Source organism: Homo sapiens, chromosome 17, assembly GCF_000001405.40.
Source record: "Homo sapiens chromosome 17, GRCh38.p14 Primary Assembly".
Taxonomy (NCBI): domain Eukaryota; kingdom Metazoa; phylum Chordata; class Mammalia; order Primates; family Hominidae; genus Homo; species Homo sapiens.
This window is the reverse complement of record NC_000017.11, coordinates 51,349,115-51,371,576: the sequence shown is the minus strand read 5'-3', so window position 1 is coordinate 51,371,576 and position 22,462 is coordinate 51,349,115. Positions and strand designations below refer to the sequence as shown.

General features: G+C 46.2%; 1 annotated feature.

Moving 5' to 3' along the window:
- Positions 4,978 to 5,478: an enhancer, noted in NCBI's record as "H3K4me1 hESC enhancer chr17:49443460-49443960 (GRCh37/hg19 assembly coordinates)". NCBI's record gives its function as "activates a minimal SCP1, AML or CMV promoter by ChIP-STARR-seq in primed H9 embryonic stem cells {active_cell/tissue: H9 hESC(primed)}" and the evidence as "EXISTENCE:reporter gene assay evidence [ECO:0000049][PMID:30033119]".

Sequence of the window (22,462 nt, the reverse complement as noted above, 5' to 3'; positions counted from 1 at the left end):
AAATTTAGGCCGGGTGCAGTGGCTCATGCCTGTAATCCCAGCACTTTGGGAGGCCAAGGTGGGCGGATCACAAGGTCAGGAGATCGAGACCATCCTGGCCAAAATGGTGAAACCCCGTCTCTACTAAAATACAAAAAATTAGCCAGGCGTTGTGGCGCGCACATGTAGTCCCAGCTACTCAGGAGGCTGAGGCAGGAGAATCGCTTGAACCCAGGAGGCGGAGGTTGCAGTGAGCTGAGATTGAGCCACTGCACTCCAGCCTGGGCGACAGAGCCAGACTCTGTCTCAAAAAAAAAAAAAAAAAAAATTGAAACATGACTGAAGAATTTAAAGACTAAAGTCAAAAGTCACCCCAAATGCAGCCACTCTGAACTACCAGCATTAGTATACGGGGCAAGTCCCTGCAGCCATCTCTCCATGCCACTGACAAGCAGAGAAGCAGATGGCCCAGTAGCGGTTCAGAGCTTGGGCTCTGGTGCCCGGCTGCCGGGGTTCCTGGTTGGCTTTGCCACTTCCTAATTTGTGACCTTAGGCAAATTCCTTAACCTCCATGTATCTTATGTTCTCACCTTAAAAACAGGGACAACAGTGGCATCTCTTACAGAATGGCTATAGGGACTTCCTCTGCAAACCTCAGAGCACAGTGCCTGGCACTTGGTAAACATTCACATGTCAGCCACTGTTAATGATGGATGGATGAACGGGCAGATAGCGAGATATACTTTTAGGAGAAGGATGTTTAATGTCGCATGTTACCTTCTTTTTTCAGTTTTATTTTTCCCCTTCTTTTCACAGATGGTGATGCATGTTACTTTTTACTTTAAAGAAAAAAGTATGAACTGTGAAAAGAACAGGATAGGGAATCCATAATTGGAGAGGCTAGGAACTGAGTAGCTGAATCCTCCTGGGTCCACAGGTGATTAGCCACATGTCTCCTGACTGGCTCTTCCTCCCCATCTGGTTTCCCCCTGCCACCAGCATGCCACCAGAGATGCTGCCCCTAGCTGTAGCAGTTCCCACTTGAGCTGTTCTCAATCAGGAGGAAAAAGGTGTGCTAATAACCAACCAGGGAGAAACGGAATCAGGAGAGAAAACCCATCCTGCTGCTGGCACAAATCTCTGAGAGCCAGCACCGATGCATTGCTCTGTCCAGGGGCTTCAAGGCCACTGAGGAGGATGAAAGAAATCAGTGACCATTTCTGCAGTTGTGAAAGGCAGCGGGCATACCACACCTCCTCACTGCCTTCATGTACTGCCCACTAACTGTGTATGATGCAGGCCTTCTCCCAGCCCCTAGCAGAACACGGACCTGCCCTGGCTCTGACTCCCCAGAACCCACAGTCAGGTGACTGGACCTCTTTCCACTCCAAACTGTGGGTGAGATGGCCAAGTGATGCAGAGCTGGCCATCACCAGGGCCAGCCTGCTTTCCAGCCCTCTGGCTTCCCCATCCAGGATTTGAAGAGTAAACCCAGAGTTTCCCAAAGCAGTCAAAGGAGCCCTGAGAAGAGTCACAGGGACGGAAGGAAAGTTCCTGCCACATAAGAATGGGGCATAAAAGGCTATGTCCAATTCCCCTTAGGAATCCCATACACCTGTAGGGAAAAAAAGAGGCTGGCAGGCTGGGAATGTGCTCACAGAAACAGCCAGCCTTTGGGAGAATGCCAAGTAGCAAGGGCATGGACACTCCCTCTTGCCCAGGACAGAGGCACACACCCTGGGGCTGCTATTCTCCTTTTGTCCTCCCCTCCCCTCCTGCAGTGAATGGAGGCCTGGACAGGTAAGAACGTCCCACAGAAAGGCATGTCCATGACGAGGCACTGGGAAAGAGAGAACAGCATTCCCAGAAATGTGTCCCAGGATTCTGCCAGACCACATATTTGTCACATTTGAGTAGTCCTGAGAAGGCCTCTAGATCTCTTCGTGTACTAGCTGGCTTTGTAAGTAGACATCAGATTTGGATTCTGGAAACTTGGGCTCAAGTCCCAATCCAGGCACTAGCCATGTGACCTTATGTAAGGCATTCCCCATCTCTGGGCCTCGGTTTGCTCAGTAGCATGACAGGGTAAATTAAGAGATGCCTCCTTGGCCTCCTCCAACTCTGACTCTACAGTCCTCAGTAGTGGCCGTAGCATGGAGAAAGGAGAAGAGGACTGATAGGGGAGGCTCCTGCTCAGCTTAGGTCCATCCCCAGATGCAGCAGATGAATGACTGACTGGTTATGTTTCCACTTTTCTGTCTACCCAAAACATGCCTGCCCTTGTTTAAGGAAGGCAACTCCTGATCTCCACCTTGATTTCACATCAGAAAGACATCAGAGAGACTCAGAGTGCAGCTGGGCAATCCTCACATTTTACACGCAAAGAAGATAAAGCTCCGAGAGTTAGAAGCATTGCTAGCAGTGAAACCCAGGACTCTGAGTCTACCTCTGCAGAGTGATTGCAAGCTTTCTGAAGCATGCTATCCTTCTGATTGAGACTGCCCAGAAACACAGGGGCTGAAATGACATTAGGGGCACTAGAGTGGTAAGCACAGAGTATGAACATGGAAATTATTAATTCTAGGAATCCAGCTGCATTACAGCCCAATTATTTACATAATCTCAACAATGGAAGTTTCATACATTTGGAGTTCATTAAATAATTGTTCTATCTTATAAGAAAGTTGGAATAATGCAGTGGCTTACTCTGTGGATCTAAAGAAAACAATGGACTGTGATCTTGACCCTGACTTCCCAAAAACATAAACGCCTGTTCTTGAAACAATTTCAAAGGATTCCCAAACTCAATGAAACTCACAAATAATCTACTAGGTGTTAAGGGACCCCAGATTAAGAGTCCCTGGAAAAGAAAGACCTCAGGCTTTTAAAAATTGACACATGAGATCTAATTAAACTAAAGAGCTTCTGCACAGCAAAAGAAACTATCATCAGAGTGAACAGGCAACCTGCAGAATGGGAGAAAATTTTTGCAATCTATCCATCTGACAAAGGGCTAATATCCAGAATCTACAAAGAACTTAAACAAATTTACAAGTAAAAAACAACCCCGTCGAAAAGTGGGCGAAGGATATGAACAGACACTTCTCAAAAGAAGACATTTATGCGGCCAACAAACATATGAAAAAAAGCTCATCATCACTGGTCATTAGAGAAATGCAAATCAAAACCACAACAAGATACTATCTCACGCCAGTTAGAATGGCAATCATTAAAAAGTCAGTAAAGAACAGATGCTGGAGAGGACATAGAGTAATAGGAATGCTTTTACACTGTTGGTGGGAGTGTAAATTAGTTCAACCATTGTGGAAGACAGTGTGGCAATTCCTCAAGGATCTAGAACCAGAAATACCATTTGACCCAGCAATCCCATTACTGGGTATATACCCAAAAGATCATAAATCATTCTACTTTAAAGACTCATGCACACATATGTTTATTGCAGCACTATTCACAATAGCAAAGACTTGGAACCAACCCAAATGTCCATCAATGATAGACTGGATAAAGAAAATGTGGCACATATACACCATGGAATACTATGCAGCCATAAAAAAGGATGAGTTCATTTCCTTTGCAGGGACATGGATGAAGCTGGAAACCATCATTCTGAGCAAACTAACACAAGAACAGAAAACCAAACACTGCATGTTCTCACTCATAAGTGGGAGTTGAACAATAAGAACACATGGACACAGGGAGGGGAACATCACACACTGGGGCTTGTCAGGGGGTTGGGGGCGAGGGGAGGGATAGCATTAGGAGAAATACCTAATGTAGATGACGGGTTGATGGGTGCAGCAAAACACCATGGCACATGTATACCTATGCAACAAACCTGCACATTCTGCACATGTATCCCAGAATTTAAAGTATAATTTGAAAAAAAAAAAAAAAAAAAAAGGAAAGAAAGAAAGACCTCAGGCTTCTTAGTTAAAATTCTAAGGTTCAAATCTCAGCTCCACTACTTACTAGTTATATAATCTTAACCCATTTTCCAAGCCTCTGAGCCCCCATTTCCTCAACTGTGAAGCAGAGGTGATACCTCTTCCAGTTGTGGGATTAAAGGAGATGTGAAATCCTATAATATAGGGATGCTGCCAGGCTTGCAGTCAGTAATAGGTGATAGAAACTGAGTGCTTTCTAAGCACCAGGCTCTGCCCTATGCACTGTATCTGCACTATCTCAACACCACTAGGAGACAGGTACTATTGTGATCCCTGTTTTATAGATAAGGAAGCTGAGACAGAGAGGTTAAGTATTTGCCCAAGATGGCACACCTTCTAAATGGCACAGCCAGTCAGTGGATTCCAGAGTCCATGCTTCTAACCACTACATCATATTATCTCATTAAACAATTTAATTTACTCCAGAAGTTTGGCTTTAAAAAAATTAAACTCAGAGAAGGAAGAAGAATGGAAAGAAAAAGATAGATCTTGGTGAGGAATGAGTTGACCCAAAGGCCCCTTTACCAACCTGTCTATTTTGTCCCTTTCTAGGGACAGATGTAGAAAAGCAGTGTCCTGAGTTCTGGGCAGCAGATGGCCCTGAAGCTCCATCTCACCCAGGTTGTGGCTGGCCGGTGCCTTGAAGACACATTTCACGTGCAGGCACTGCCCGAAAATGCTTTGCAAAAATCATCCCATTCAATTCATCCCACACACTCACAGTGCTATGAGACAGATGCTACCATTAGCTCCATTTTACAGGTAAGAAAACTAAAACACAGGTGTAAAATGTCCCCCACAACCACTGCTGCTCTAAACTACTACCACCACAGGGTCTCATAAACAGTTTTGGTAAAATGCTGAGAGGGGATAGTTCACTTGACCCCCTTTGCGGGCAGGAACTGGAGTGTCTCGTTTCACTCAGCCCACCACTGGCCACTCCTCGCAGGAGGGAGAGTGTGAGTGAGCGAATGCAGGAACCTGAGCGAACGAACACTGGAACTGGAACTGGCTGGTCACTCCTCTCTGGTGGGAGCAGGCTCTGTGTGGGCCCCACAGCAGCGTCCAAGCGTGTTACAACCAGCGCTCTTTCAGCTCTGCCATCAGGATCAGCCAAGTGCCAACCAGCTCAGGGGTCAGGGTGGCAGCCTCTGCCCTCTCAGCACCCAGGTTCTTGTCCAGCGTCCAAGAAGAATCAGGTCACATGGACTGTTTGAAAGGTGATGAGTGCGGAAGACTTTATTGAGTAGTGGGTGGCTCTCAGTGGAAAGGAAGGCTGGAAAGGGGATGGGAAGGTGATCTTTCCCTGAAGTTCAGCCATCTCCGGCCGGGCCCCTCTCTGAAGCCACACTGTCTGAAGTCAGCCACACCTATCCATAGTCTCTGATGCTCAGTTGCTTCTCTGCTCACTCCTCAGCCACTTGTATCCTCGATGCTCAGCCGCCTGTGTTGTTCTGCCAGCTAAAGTTTTTATGGGCACAGGATATGGGTGAGGCAGGCCAAAAAGGCAACAGTTGGACGGAAAAATGGGGTCAGCTGTTTTCACTTAAGGGGCAGTTCCAGGCTTAAGAATGGGGTTTAGCTGGGAGCCCAGCCCTCTGTATCAGTACGATGGTTAAAATCAGAAACTTTGGGGCCAAATCCAGTAAAACATGTGGGGGTGGGGAGAGGGGCTGTTGGGGAGGAGGGTTAAATAAGCACAGTCCACATACTGCACATTGGAGCTGTTTCTACCCAATGGGAACTGCATGGGTGTAAGGAACATGGCTGTGCTTTGGTCAAGGATAGGCCGAGGTAAGATGTTTACATCCCTGTGTGTCTCAGCGAGTTCAGAGCACAGGTGTAAAACTCCACTTGTTATCATAGCCATGTAGCCATCACTAGATGGGAAGGCCATCGCTTGGCTCTACACCACTATTGTCTATAAAAGGTATAATTGCCCTGTTGACACTGCACAGGTGCACTGGCACCCAGAGAAAGAGAGAAAGAGCCAAAGCTGTCCATCTGCAAGATGGACAGAGGGGAGCCGCGGCACAGCTCATGCTGGTGCCCAGAGAGAGAAAGGGTTAATTTGCTGACCCTGAAGGCAAGAGAGAGCAGGCCATGCAGCTGTGTGCGGGGGCCGCCGGACCAAGCAGCTGAGACAGGGTGGACAGTGTGAGAAAGCTGTTGGTAAGAGCTGCTGCTGAATAAAATAATTCACCTGCCTACGACCCCCCAAGTGTTCTTTCTGCTCATCCACCCGCTCCCTCTGGACCTCACCATGACCTTTGGCGTAGTCATGAACTTGACAATGGGTGCGGCAGGACTCATCAGAGAAGCCATCCCAAGGCTGGAGTAGATAAGTAGAGGAAGTGAGCTGGCAGACTTGAGTCAGGAAGTTGTTGGGCGAGGCAGGCGGCGCTTTAAAGGAGGAAATTGGAGGCCTGAACCCCAGTTAGAAAACAACAACCCACTCTGATTTTCAGAGCCCCTGGGAAAACTCAGCACTCAGGGCTCTGGCATAAACGACAGTGGGGCACAGGAACAGCCCTTGCCCCATCCCCTCCAGCCAAGTGAACCAGACCTCATTCTTTGGCTCTGAATTCAGCCTCCAGATAAGCAGCAACAAGTCAGTGGGGCAGGACGGAGACTTTCCAAAGGAAGAAGTGCAGGACTACAAAAAAGCTGACACCCTGTCTGCATATGCATCCCGACATCCCTCACCTTGCTTAAAAATAGTTGTTCCTAATCTTGGCCATACAGTGGAATTACTCGAGGAGATTTTTAAAAATACCAATCGTCTCTAGGGATGGGACTTGGAGATTCAAGTGTCAAAAAGCCACCAGGTGGTCTTCATGTGCAGGTAGAATTGAGGATCCATCCTCGATTTGTCACCCATCATGTCCTATCGAGGACACCTGCACTCTAAGTGTGGTCCACACAGCCTCCGCCTCAACATCGCCTGGGAACTTGTTAGAAATGCAGAATCACAGCTCCCTCCTCAGTCCCCTAGACTCGGAATCTGCATTTTAACAAGATCCCCAGATGATTCATGTGCACAGTAAAGTTTGAGAGATGCCAGTTTAGACTCTTACTACCCACCCACCACCACTTTCCATCTGAACAATCAGCAGCTGTTCCACTCCCCACCTCCCTTAGCCTGAGACAGGAATCAAGATGTAATGCAAGGGTTCCCAAGTTTTAGCATGCCTCAGAAGCATCTGGGCAGCTCATTTAAAATACAGATACCCAGGCTCAGGTGTGTTTAACACACACTCCCCACCCCAGGTGCTTCTGCCCCAGGTGCTCCAGAAGCTGTGAATGGAAAAGCTGTTATCGCGAAAGCACAGAGGTATTGGAATCAGGTGAATTACACCCTAAATTCTGACTCTGCCACTTGCTATCTATGTGAAATTCAGGAGTCACAAACATCTCTGAGTCTGTTTTATCACCTACAAAAATCAGGATGACGACATCTCACTTACAGTGATGTTATGGCTTGTATTGTGTCCCCCAAAAAGAAATGATAGACTCCTAAACCCCAGTACCAGAAAATGTTACCTTATTGGGAAATAAGATCATTGCAGATGTAATTAGTTAAAATAAGGTCATCCTGGAATAGGGTGGGCCCTTGATCCAAAATAACTGGTCTCATTAAAAAACACACATATACACAAGGGGAGAATGTTTTGGGACAACAGAGGCAGGGACTGAAATGCCATAGGTGCAAGCCAAGGAACACCAAGAATTGCCACCACCACCAGAAGCAAAGAAGAAGCAAGGAAGCACTCTCCCTGCTCCAGGTTTCAGAGGGAGTGTGACCCTGCCGACACCTTGATTTCAGACATCTAACCTCCAGAACTGACAGTCAGTTTCTGTTGTTTGAAGCCACCCAGTTTGTGGTGCTTTGCTATGGCAATGCTGGGAAGCAAATACCAGTGAGGGTCATGGATTAGGGAGTTAATATTTGGGAGATCCTACAAATACAAGGTATCAACAAAGATGGTTCCCATCTCCTGTACCCCATTTTCTGATTTTCCAGTCCTTTGTCGGCATTCAACATGACAGCACTACAGCTGACCACTCCTTCAAGGAGCTTTGGGTCCAGAGTAAAGCGGCAGGGAAAATTCTTTGCAGGGTGACACACGAAGATACTCAGTCCTTGCACCATAAGCAGCCAGACAGCAGCTCTCAGAGCAGAGCAGTGGGATCAAAACCTAACTCTGCCTGTGCCAAGTCCACAGAAGCAGTGACCCCCCCGCGTGGCCCCAGCAGCTGTCAGCAGCCCAGAAGGAAGGCTTCTCCCTAAGTGACCCACTGCTTCCTCTACCCACACCCCAAAGAAAAAATTCAAAGGATGGATCAAATAACTACTCAGACTTGGAAAATTATTTCAGAAAAGTCATAAAATCTTAAAAGGAACTTTGAGTGATGCCAACTGGATGGGGTAAAAGAGAAAAGAGATGCAAGGACAAGCCTATTTGAATATGAAAAGCAAAGAATGGCTCTTAGAATGAATGAAGAATTATAAGACATTCCTGCAAAAGGGGCCTTAGAAAGCATCTCCCATCCCCCCTGCTGAGAGGGCGATGAGCTCACCCTGAATCATTTTACAGATAGGGAACTGAGGCCCAAAGACAGGAAGGGTTGTCCAAGGTTACACAGGTAAAACAGAGCTAGGACCTGAGACTTCTGACTCCCAGCCTGGTGCTCTTTCCAACTCTAGAATTCCTGGGAGGATGCCTCATTCGTTTGTCTGTACAGGGTTATTGAGTCCAAGCTGGTTGATTGTGAGAGGTTCTCTCAAGCCATAGAGCTATGAGCATGTGAAAGAAACCCGAGAGTGTGGCAGCAGGGATCCTTCCATTGAAGTCAATACAAAGAGAAAAGTTTCGTTTTGTCATAAAAAATCAGACCCAGAAACCCTGCCAGGCAGCCACTCTGGACAGTGCTCCCCTAAACACACTTGTAGACTTTGCCCTGGTGTCTTTGCTGCACAGACAGAGAACCTGCTGGGCTCCCCTCACCTTACATTGTATCCTGACCCTTTGTCATGGACCGAATGTTGGTGTCCCCACCAAAATTCATACGTTAAATCCCTAACACCTAATGTGATGGTATTAGGAGGTGGGGCCTTTGGGAGGTAATTAGGTTTAGATAAGGTCATGCGGGTGGAGCCCCTACGATGGGATTCATGTCCTAACAAGAGGAGACCAGAGCCCTCTCTCTGCCACGTGAGGATACAGTGAGAAGGAGGCTACTGTGAGATGGAGGCCATCCAAAAGCCAGGAGGAGGGTCCTCACCAGAACTCAACCATGTTGGCACCTTGATCTTGGAATTCCAGCCTCCAGAGCGGTGAGAAATAAATGTCTGCTGTTTAAGCCACCCGTCTATGGTAATGTTACAGGGAGCTGGACAGGCATGAGCGGTACTTAGACACCCACTAAGAATGCTGGGTGATGGTTCGGCAGTTATGACATTGCCTCTCTAAAAGTGATAAATTAAGGCTGGGCACCGTGGCTCACGTCTATAATCCCAGCACTTTGGGAGGCCAAGGTAGGTGGTTCACCTGAGGTAGGGAGTTTGAGACCATCCTGACCAAAATGGTAAAACTCCATCTCTACTAAAAATACAAAATTTAGCTGGGGCTATGGTAGCGCATGCCTGTAATCATGGCTACTCAGGAGGCTAAGGCAGGAGAATCCCTTGAACCTGGGAAGCTGAGGTTGCGGTGAGCCGAGATCGCACCACTGCACTCCAGCCTGGGTGACAAAGGGAGACCCTGTCTCAAAAAAATATAAAATAAAATAAAAGTGATAAATTGGCAGCTGGCGCCAGGGAGAGGCCATTTCCTCAAGGGCCACACCTGTTGCACTAAAGTGTTAATTGCAGCAGGGCAGGTGGCTCACGCCTGTAATCCCAGTACTTTAGGAGGCCGAAGTGGGTGGATCACCTGAGGTCGGGAGTTTGAGACCAGCCTGACTGACATGGAGAAACCCTGTCTCTACTAAAAATACAAAATTAGCTGGGCATGGTGGTGCATGCCTGTAATCTCAGCTACTCGGGAGGCTGAGGCAGGAGAATGATTTGAACCCGGGAGGCGGAGGTTGCTGTGAGCCAAGATCATGTCATTGCACTCCAGCCTGGGCAAAAAGAGCAAAACTCCGTCTCAAAAAATAAAAAATAAAGTGTTAATTGAATGCAGATGCCTGGGAAGAAGCCACTTCCTAGGCATCTGCATTAAGAGACAAAATGGTGGAGTATGACTTTCCGGGGGCACTCCACTGGAAAAGGGAAGAAGAGCCTCAGATGGGCATGCATACAGCTTCCTAAGCACACTGCATGTTCTCACTTCCCAGGCATAAGAAGGGCACTGCACACATGGGCAGCCCATCCTAAGGGAAGAATCATGGGAAAGGGTCAGCCTATAAAGCCCTAGGATCACAGTTAAACTCCGCACTTGACCTTCAGGTGCCCACTTGGGTTTCTTCCAAGCATACTTTTCTTTCTTTCTTGTTCTAAAGCCAATTTAAATAAACTTCCACTCCTGCTCTGAAACTCACCTCCATCTCTTTTTCTGCCTTATGCCCCTCAGTCAAATTCTTTCTTCTGAGGAGGCAAGAATTGAGGTTGCTCTAGACCCGTATGGATTCACTGCCGGTAACTGGGATAGCTTCCACTGGTAACAGTATTTTGTTATAGCAGCTTGAACAGAATAAGACATCCTTAAAATCCTAGAATCACTCAGCCAGAGGGGGCCTTAGGAGCATTCTGGTCAAACCACCTCATTTCACACCAAAAGCCAGGCCCAGAAAGGAAGGACACATTTGGAATGGAATAATGAGAATAGCAATGGATGGTGACAAAAACAGATGCTTGTTAAACAGTGATCGTGCTAGCCATGTGTCAGGTACTGCTGCATAGTACTTTCATGACCTCCTTGAATACTCATGACAACCTTGGGAGGTACTTGTATCAATTGGGGTTTAGTACAAGAAACAAGGGGCGGTGGCTCATGCCTGTAATCTCAGCACTTTGGGAGGTCAAGGTGGGGGGATCACAAGGTCAGGAGTTAGAGACCAGCCTGGCCAACATAGTGAAACCCCATCACTACTAAAACTACAAAAATTAGTCAGGCATGGTGGCATGCACCTGTAATCCCAGCTACTGAGGAGGCTGAAGCGGGAGAATCACTTGAACCTGGGAGGTGGAGGTTGCAGTGAGTTGAGATTGCATTATTTCACTCCAGCCTGGGTGACAGAGCAAGACTCCACCTAAAAAAAAAAGAGAGAGAGAGAGAAAGAAAGAAACTGGGACAACTCTGGGTATTTTAAGCCGAAAGAGATTTAATAAAAGAAATTAGGCACTACAAAATCACTGGAAGAGCTGGAGGAGTAGGCTCTGGCCTAGGTGCCAGGACTGATTTCCAGAACAATAAGCACTGGTCAATTTGGGGAGATGCTATCTCTAAGGCTGACACTAGACTACTATGTCCATGACATGGCCCCAGTGCTATGAGCCAGAGGTCAGAAACCAGAATGAGGAATTCTCTGCCCCCAAATACTGTCTCTGTAACCACTACTAGAACACTGCAATAAAACCTTTTACTCTCACTCCCTTGCTTGCCAGCAGAAGGGTTAGGAAGAAGGCCTGTGCGTGGCCTCACTTGGCCTTCCAAATACGGGGCAAGTGTTCTAATTACAATTAGACCCTACATTCTATTCTAAGCCCTAGCTGCAAAGCATCTGGAAAATGGAGATTGTTGCTTTCCAGGCTCCATAGTACAGGAAGGCAGCCTAAAAGGAGAGTGGAATGGAGATTGAGCAAGCCAATCCACAGCATTGCTAGCCAATCTGTAGTAATTACTAGTGTCATTTCTATGTCTTACCGATAAGGAAAATGAGGCATGGAAAGGTTCAGTAATTTGCCTAAGGTAACACAGAAAATCAGTGGTGGAGCCAGGATTTGAACCCAAGGGATCTGACGTCAGGATCCTCACTCTTAAAATGATCCCTTTCAAGAAAGGACAGTTTACAACTTTAGACAGTATATTTACAAAAGATATATACTTTTTCTTTTTGCTGCAGAAAATGGCAAGATAAAGCTTCATTTTTTGATATTATACTATCAAAAAATTGTCAATATGGGACTCTAAATTCAGCAGAACTGCTTGAAATAGAGTTCAAATATCTAAGAAGTTTTTAAAATAGCCATTGTATAAAAGCTAGTCTCACATGTTGATGGAAATAGAAGGATGAAGTAACACTATGTTATTCAACTCAGAATATCCTAGGAGAACAAAGAGAAGCAGAGAAACTATAGCCTTGGAGCACCAGCAGCTTGTCCTGGCTTTTTTGTGAATGGCCGTGAAGAAAGGTGAATAAGGAACTGTAAAACTACTAGAAGAAAACAGGAAAAGCTCTACCCCATTGGTCTGGGAAAGTATTCCGTGGATATCATTCACCTCACAAACACTGGCAACAAAAGCAAAAATAGACTAACGGGATTGCATCAAACTAAAACGCTTCTGCACAGCAAAGGAAACAACAGGTGAAGAGACAACCTACAGATTGGGAGAAAATATTTGCAAATCATGCATCAGATAAGGCGCTAATACCCAAAATACATAAGAAACTCAAACTACTCAGTAACAGGAAAACGAATAATTCTTTTTTTGTTTGTTTCATTTTTGAGACAAGCTCTCACTCTGTTGCCCAGGATGGAGTGCAGTGGCATGATCTTGGCTCACTGCAACATCCACCTCCCGGGCTCAAGCGATCCTCCCACCTCAGCCTCCTGAGTAGCTGGGACTACTTAATCTTAAGCAGGGACAGGTGCATGCCACCATACTCAGCTAATTTTTTGTTTTTGTTTTTGATAAAGATAGGACTTCATCAGTTTGCCCAGGCTGGTCTCAAACTCCTGGGCTCAAGCAATCCAGCCACCTCGGCCTCCCAAAGTGCAGGGATAACAGGCATGAGCCACCACACCTGGCCCACTCTATTTTAAAATTGGCAAAAGACCTGAATAGCCATTTCTTGAGAGGCTGTATAAATGGCCAACAGATAGATGAAAAAATGCCCAACATCGCCAGTCATTAGGGACATGCAAATCAAGGCCACAATAAGATATCACTTCACCCCAGTTAGAATGGCTATTATCAAAAGATAACAAATGCTGCCAAAGATTTGAAGAGAGGGGAATTCCTATACATCATTGGTGGGAATGGAAATGAGCACAGCCATTGTGGAAAACAATATGGCAGTTCCTCACAAAATTGAAAACAGAACTACCATATGATCCACCAATCCCACTTCCGGGTTTCTATTCAAAGGAATTGAGATCAGTATGTCAAGGAGATGTCTGCATCCCATGTTCATTGCCACATCATTCACAATAGCCAAGATCTGGAAACAACCTAAGTGCCTGTCAATGAATAAATTGATTTTTTAAATGTGGTGTCTATATATACAACAGAATATATTCAGCCTTGAAAAAGAAGAAAATTCTGTCACTTGCAACAACATGGATGAATCTAGAGGACACTATGCTCAGTGATATAAGCCAGGCTCAGAAAGACAAATACTACACATGATCTCACATATATATGGAATCTTTTTTTTTTTTCTTTGAGATGGAGTCTCACTCTGTCACCCAGGCTGGAGTGCAGTGGCGTGATCTCGGCTCATTGCAACCTCCAACTCCCGGGTTCAAGCAGTTCTTCTGTCTCAGCCTCCCAGGTAGCTGAGACTACAGGCACCTGCCACCACACCCAGCTAATTTTTGTATTTTTAGTAGAGATGGGGTTTCACCATATTGGTCAGGCTGGTCTCGAACTCCTGACCTCAAGTGATCCACCCGCCTCGGCCTCCCAAAGTGCTGGGATTACAGGCATGACCCACCACGCCCAGTCATGTATGGAATCTTCAAAAGCTGAACTCATAGAGTAGATTTTAGAAGTCCTCATCACAAAAAAAAAGATAAGTATTGAGGTGATGGATATGTTCATTAGCCTGATTTGATCAATTCTACAATGCCTACATGTATGGAAACATCACATTGTACCCCATAAATATATATGATTATTATTCATCAATTAAAAGTTTACAAATTAGCCAGGCATGGTGGCTCACGCCTGTAATCCCAGCTCTTTGGGAGGCTAAGGTGGGAGGATCACTGAAGGTCAGGAGTTCAAGACCAGCCTGGCCAACATAGTGAAACCCTGTCTCTACTAAAAATACAAAAATTAGCTGGGCACGGTGGTGCGCACCTGTAGTCTAAGCTACTCGGGAGGCTGAGGCAGGAGAATGGCTTGAACCTGGGAGGCAGAGGTTGCAGTGAGCCGAGATCACGCCACTGCACTCCAACCTGGGAGACAGAGTGAGACTCTACCTAAAAAAAAAAAAAAAAAAAAGTTTAAAAATTAAAGTGGATTAATTCTGAAAAAATAAAAGGAAAGCAGATAGGCATCTGGAAGAGGTACCAGAACTTCCCCATTCCAAGGTTACTTATCTCAGAGTTGTGAATGGATGTCTCGGGGTGATGCTGTAGAACAAAGTGATCAAGGACAAGCAATGATTCCCAAACCCTCACCTGGGATCTAGAGTGCAAGACCTACCCTGTGGGCAATCAGGAGAGATCAGTGAGCAGCTGTCCTCACCCTTGGGTGCCCACCTCCTTTCTTCAACCTTACAAATCTGACCTGTGGATATAAGGTCTAAAACCCCCATCGACATAAGTCTGATTTTCTTTCTGTTCTGTCTGCAACACAGAAAAGAAGAGAACCTTTTAGGGCATTTAGAAAAATGATAAATTCCAACAAGGTTTGAGATTAATTGCATTTTTCATTTTTTATTTAACTCTCTTTGCTTTCTATGGCTATAGGAAAGTGTGAGTAGTCTATAAGGGCTGTCCCTTAGCCGAGCATCATAATCTTTGCTAATTCAGGACCATGACATGCATGGAGGAACAAATGGATAGTTACATAGATAAATTGACTATTGGTGGGTAGATGAACTGGTAGATAAATAATGCTGTAAAGAGAGAGGAACAGAGACAGGGAGAGTAAATTTTAAACAGTCAATCAGCAAGGCCAGGGCTGGAACAAACACCATCTCCCTAGAATTGCCCAGAAGAAGAACGTGGCTTCTGGAAGGCTTCTAGGAATGTACATTGAAGAATATTCAAACTGCCCAAAGAAATAGCAACAACAACAACAGCAACAACAAAAATCAGTTATCCAACTACAAAAGGGTGAACAGAATAATTATGAACCTCAGGAATTAGAAGAGGAAAGAAAATGGAAAGACAGACTTATGAAAAATCTTAACACTTCTATCTACTGCCACGTTCAAAGTAAAGTCCAAACCAATCAGCAAAACTCCTAAGAGGAGCCTGCGGCTGCGAGAAATCTTTCTGAGGTCACTGAGTCCCTACCCTGCCTGAGGGAGGCAGAGCTGTTCCTAAGTCGCCCTCCCCTGGAACAGAAGCTCGGATCCCAAGGGCTGATTGATTCCTGCGCCTTGGAGAAATACTCTTTAAAATTAAAGAATTACTCGGCAGGTTTTTTCCTCTCTTGCCTAGTCGTGCATTATTACCAAAAGGGAGAATAAGCTGCAACTGTCAGGTCCAGCGGCTCCACCCTCAGTCTAGGAAGGAGCTCACGTGTGCACTGTCATCAGACAGATTTGTCCCTAGAGCCGAGATGTTCTCCGCAGTGTCGGTTATAATGCCCAGAAAATTAAATCCAAGGCTGCTGCTGTTTCTGCAGACTGGCGCTGGTCAGTTACAGGCAGGGCAGGGAAGAAGCAGTGGATGGAGAAAGTAATCATCTGTTTTGAATTAGGGATGGCAGGGAGGCAGTATGGGAGCGGGAGGAACATGCACAGATCTTTGGGTTTTCATTTCTGCTTTGCCAGATGGCCACTGTGTGCCTGTAAGCAAAGGACCTCACCCCTCTGTCTCTCTGAACTTCCACTTCCCCATATACAAAAAGAGATAGTAGTGCCTATCCCCTGAAGTTATTTCAGGATTAAAGATTATGCATAAAAGGGCCCATCCCACAATCCGTGAAAGCTGTCATCACGGTCATCAGCCCCTGCCTGGCTCTCAGGCCTGCTCCGCTGCTCCAGCCCTGCCCACAGCTGAGGCTTCTGACTCCACATGCAGTTTCTTCCCCTCACTTCCCTCCAAAAGGCAGCTCCAGACAGAATGTGTCAGCTCTGCCTCAGTCTTCCTTGCTACTGTGCCAACTCTAATGAGGTGGCTCCAGCATTACAGGTGGCCTTTGACGTGGTGTCTGCCTCTAGTTTCTTGGCCTCATCAACTATGCAGTGGTCTTACTGAGCAACTGCTAACTCGGGTCCCTTCTGAAACAGACATCCTGCCTGGCTCCTGCCTTACTCTCAGTCTCCCTCCCAGAGACTGGACTTCTACTCTGAGCCCTAGTCTGATGACAAATGCTTTGCTATTCAAAGAGAGACCTCTGCGCTGACAGAACCCTAAGCATCTCCCACACCAGGATCCCTGTTGCTGGACTCTGCCCATGTCAACCCCCACCACTTGGTTCAGTCCCACCCTTGTTGCAGGCTGCCTGCCAGAGATCAGCAGGCACCTCCCTCCTTCCTGCCAAATCTTTCTCCCTCTGCAGAATGTGATTTGGTGGAATAGACACAAATTATAGAATCAGACTGCCCTGAACATCTATGTGTGACCTTGGGCAATTTCTTCACCTCTCAGAACCACATGTATAAAATGAGGATAACAACAGCCTCATTGGGCCATGGAGGAAATTCAGGGAAGGACGTGCATTGCAAGCCTGGCACTGTGCCTGGCATGGGGGCAGTGCTCCCTAAAGGCCCACTCCCCTTTGCCTCCTCCCATCGCCAATGGCCTGTAACTGGTCATGTCCACCTGAATCCAGAGGTAGAAAATGGTCATTAAAACAAATTGTCACTTGATTCTATAAGCCAGGTGGCACATGACAGCCATTAATTTTTCACATGAAAAATGGCTCTGCTAATTGAAAAACATCAAAAAGATTGAGGTTTACACAAATGTTCAGCTCTGTTTATTTTTTCTAATTTACTTTTCAGCAGTCAGTAAGAACTTAATGAGCTCTCATTTATGGCTTCCTCCCTATTTATAGATATTGGCGCCTGTGGTGTTCTAGATGTATATACTGAGAGCATTCAGCCTGGGCTACATGGCCAGTAGGGAAGAGTTACAATACCCAGGTAAATTCCAGACAGGAATTACTGCTCCTCAAAAACTTAGCTGATACACTGTTCATTAAGAAAACGCCCTGCTACTTTACATTGGCTGGATACTGTTTTCCTCTTCTTGGGAAAAATTTTTCTAGCTGGAAGTTTCATTTGATATGACATGAAAATAGTTAACATTTATGGAGCAATTGCTCGGTTTCAGACACCGTGTTGTGCATGGTATGTGGATTCTTTCATGCTTGTCATAACACTGAGGAAAATACCCTTATTAACCCTGTTTCCAGATGAGGGAATTAAGATGTAGGGGAAAATGTAAAATGTTGAAACCCAATTTTCTCTGGGTCCAGATTCCATATTTTTATCATGGCATCTACACAGCCATACCCTCTTTTCAACAAGCAGAGAGCCAACTGGTGAGTTCTGTCCATTTGAGGAGAGACAGATACGGGAGAAGAGCACTGCGCCAAGAGTCAGGAGACATGAATTCAAGTCCCACATCTTCCAAGAGTCCTCAGGACCTTGAGCATGTCCCTCACCATCTCTGCTTTGAAGTTTAGAGGTCTGGGATAGGGCTGGAGCCAGAACGCGGGCACCAACCCTTCTTCCCCTCTCGCTGACCAGCTAACAAAGACAACAAGGGGAATTAGAGTTTCAGATTTATTAATGGCCAGTTTTATACCCCCAAACCACCCAAAGTAGAGCCCTCTGACAAAGCTGGAATGGCAAACACAGATTAGACTCAGGCCAAAGTGGACGCCTCTGACTCCTGCCCCAGGTCTAGACCTTGGAACCCACCAGACCATGAGGATGCCCCACCTGGCCAGGCTTGGAGTGAGAACAAAGGTCTTTGAGTCCTGGGGCAAACAGCTCAGAAAGATAAAGTGGAGCCTCTTTCCCACTGCTGAGGCACCAGAAACCCTGCCCAGCAGCAAAACATGACTCAACCAGTCCTCTAATGAAGAGAAACAGGAGGGCAGAGAGAGGAACAGAGCTTACACGGCAGTCCTTCCCTGAGCGGGGAGATGTAAAAGCAGAAGTTCTCACCCCCATGGGCCAAGGTGGGGGTCGGCAGAGAGGAGGAGAAAGATCCCCCTAAAATTCTTGACCTGTAAACTAAAAGGCTGGACCCCTGAAGCAAGAGGCAACACTGATGAATGAGAGGAATGGCTGCCACTATGCAAAGTGAATGGATTCAAGAAGTTGGATTGTACCTGACTGCAGACTAGAGACACAGCAGTGGGAAGGTTGGCACCTCTGGTTTGGAGAAACTGAGGATGATCCCTTTGAGTTAAGGACACTGTCTTATTCATTCTATATCCCCCACACCCTGCACTGATGGAGGCTGGCTCAGGGTCAGGCTCAATCAGTGTCTGTTGAACTAATGAGAGAATGAATAGAAGGGCTGTGGTTTGGCATCTCCTGAGACAACGAGCCCACAGAGCTGCTCTGAGACATGATTCATAAGCCTTCTGGTGCTGCAGGGATGGTCACTGGTGTTGTACCTGTTCATTTTGACTCCCAGTCACATATTAACAACCAAGATGGCAGCAGTTCTCACAATAGCATTTGTGGGGAGATGACACAAATAGAAATAAATTACTTCTAGAGATCAGCATGTTACAGCACAATCACTTGTATAACTGCATACCTCAGGCCTTGGGAGTAGAATCGAAATTTAGCCTGGAACCCTGGGCTCCCAACTCGCATTTTGGTGCTCCTTTCCTCCACCACAGAGCGCAGCAGAGGCTGCCGTACAGGCAGAGCTACATACAGCACCGGACTCAGTGAAGACCCCATCTACACTCAGGCCAAGAACTCTTTTTTTTTTTTTTTTTTTTTTTTTTTGAGGCAGCATCTCACTCTATCACCCAGGCTGGAGTGCAGTGGTGCAATCTTGGCTCACCGTAGCCTCAAATCCCTGGGCTCAAGCAATCCTCCCACCTCAGCCTCCCAAGTAGCTGGGACTACAGGTGTGCACCAATATGCCTGGCTAATTTTTTTATTTTTAGTAGAGATGAGGTCTAGCTATGTTGCCCAGGCTGGTCTCAAACTCCTGGGCTCAAGCAATACTCCCACCTTGGCCTCCCAAAGTGCTGGGATTACAGGCTTGAGCCACCACACCCAGGCAAGAGCTCTTCTTACAAACTGGTTTTTTCAACACTCCTAACCTTGCCATCATCCCACAAGTAACAAATAATCAAAATCCTCTTCTTGGACTTCAAATACAAGCACCAGGAATACACAAAAATATATGCATGAGTTCTCTTGCAATCTTATGTTGACAACTGAACCAGTGAGTTCAGGCAGCTAGTAAGCAGCTGAACTGGGCTGCGGTCCCAGATATTCCCTGAGCCAAGGCCAAGGAAAAGCTTTTTCAAGAATGTGATGTTTAAGCTGAGCCCAGGAAAATGAATAAGCAGGAGTTAGCTTGGGGAAGGGGATGAGATGGAAGCTCCTACAGGGAGAGGGAGGAGCACTTTCAACATCCTTGAGGTGGGAGCGCTTATGATTTTTCCATCAGACCACGCTGCCTCACAAAACCTCATTTTATGAATGAAAAGAGGACATCCCCCAGAACAAAAATCTTGTATCATATCACGGGAAAGGAAGGAAGGGGCAGGGAAGGGGAGGAGGGGAGAGTGGAGGAGATCGAATTCTTCCCCTTTCCAATATGATAACATCCTTTTCAGCAGATCACTCACCTTGGGAGATGCTCCATTAAAAACAGAGTTCTAAGACCAAATAAATTTGGGAAATAACCACATAGCTATATCCTCCTCTTGACAAGTCATACAGCTCATTAACCATTTAAAGACCTTGAGAAGTCCTGCAGCAAAGAACATGAGTTTCTCCAACCCATTTGACTACTTCTTCAATCAATACCTATTTAACATTCCATAGGATATACGTCAAGGAAAGCCTTCCATAAATTAACTTCAACAGCCACGTGGAAAGTGCTAACTCCGACCTCAGCCCCAAGGACCAAAAGCTCTTTAATACCACAGTCTATTGCACCAAGTTTCCTATGCAGTCCCGTGAGCATCGCAAGTGCCCTGGTCAAGCCCCAGGCTTAAAGCACCCATCCCCAAGACAAGGGGCATGTGGAATGAAGCACACGCTCACTATTTGATCTCTGGGAAAAGGGAGGAGGAGGCATGGCTTGAGCTGGCTTAACAGAGATTTACTTCACCGGCATCCTTTGGAATGGATATCCTGCATGATTGAGCCGGGCTTTGTTCAATTCTCAAAGCAATTTGCCAGGAGTGAGAAAGGAGCACTTAGAAAAGCAAGTTGGTCAGTCCTGGATGATTACTTCTTATTCCAAAACAATTACCATAAAGGTAAAATGGGTTATGTTGCTGTAAAAAATATGACTCTCTCCAAACAGTAACACATGGATTCCCAACCGGAGCCATCAAGGCCACGGCCAAAAGCAGGCCGGGCATAGGAACTCGGGGGAAGATGCTTCTGCCTGTCAAACAGTACTGGTTTAAAACAGAATTAACACAGATAAAGGAGGGCTAGATAAGTAGGGGTTGTGGGGGGCAGTGATGGGGTGCCCTGAAGACAAGTACCTCCTTAGCAGCCTGAGCCCATCCCTACAGAGTACTCTGAGATGTAAAAAGACAAACACCCAGTTTCCTTCTTCTTCTGCCTCAACCTCCAGACCTACTGGACCTCCTAAAAGAATAGGGCTAAGTAGGATTTCTCAACCTCAGCACTGCTGACATTTTGCTTGGGTAATTCTTTGTTGTGGGGGGCAGTCCTGTGCATTTTGGGAAGTTTAGCTGCAGCCCTGGCCTCCACCCCAAATACCAATAACTCCCTCCTCCCCACCCAGTTGTGACCATCCAAACTGTCTCCAGACATTGCCAAATGTCCCCAGGAGGTAGGAAGTACGAGCAAAATCATGCCTAATTGGGAACCACAGGACAAAAGCAATATGGACATGGGAGAAGGAGCCAACCAAGTCTTTGGATCCAGCCCATCGCCAAGAGAAAACTGTGCTCAAGACTGGCCTCTCCAAGAGAGCAAAGAAGAATGCATCCAGAAGTTGTTGCTGTTGGCCCCTTTCTGGGCACTGATGGAACAAGAGGGGTCTGAGTGCCCAGTCACTGGCATCACAGCCAAGTGCCCAGCCTGCTCCATAGAGGACAGCCAGCATAAGGGATAGAGCCAAAAGACACCAAAGAGCCTTCCTGATAAGCCAAGTCATTCTAGGCAGCCACTCCCCTTACCTAGCCTTGCTTCCAATCATTCCTTTGCTGGTTGAAAGAAGACAAGTTAAAATATGAGAGTGTCTTGTAAGACTCAGGGAGGCTAAGTAGGAAGAGTTTGATAACTGTTTCTCAAAACTAAAGATGTTCATTGTTCCCCAACTGACAGCCAACAAATAATGTTGCTATATAATGGCCTGGGTTTGTTTCTCACAATTTATTAATAAGCTGCCATTAATATGAACTGCCTATGAATGATAGAGTGGGAAGAATGCCTTGGCTTGGTGTTAGATGCTGAGGTACAGGTCCTGATGCTGACATCTGTTCAAGATCACTTCACTTCAGCATCCCCAAGCTTTCTGTCCACCATAAAATGAAGAAAACAGCAATATTCCAATACCCACCTCCCTGGGTTGTTGCAAGTTTCAAATGCAATGTATGTGAAAGCGAGTTGCAAATGCAGAGCACCAGGCTGATGTCAGTTGTTTTTATTAACTCATCGGGTCAGTTTTGATTCACTTAAAAGTAGACATGAGGCAACAATTTGCAGAGGAGAACACTGGGAAGAAATATCTGCTTTGAATATAGTGATTAAGGGAAGCTAAGAAGGAAGAAAAACGTGGAAAAGTGTTTTTAAGATTCTAACAGTGATTATTAAAGCATCTCAGAACTCTTAGGTACATAGAGAAAAAATAACATTGCTCTTCAAAGTGGTCCTTTCTGTGTCTTTTTTTCCACTTTCTTAGCCGTTTATTCTCTTTTCCCCCATTCACCTCATTTCCATCTCCACCCAGGCCCCTGAAGTACACTTAATTGTCATTGCCAGCCTCATCCAGAGCCACTATGAAGCATTTAACTGCTGATGGCACCAACCAGGCACTGTACCGAGAAAATTACTATTGGTGTAGGAGGGAAGGAGGAAGAGAAGGAAAGAGAGAAGGAGGGAAAGAAGGAGGAGGTGAACAGAAGGAGAAGCTGGAACCTGACCTCTCTTAAGCTTTGAATCTCAGCTCTACATCCAAACCTGGAAGTAGGAGGGGAAACTAACATTGACTGGGGACCTAGCATGTGCCTGGGACTGTGCTAGATGCTTCA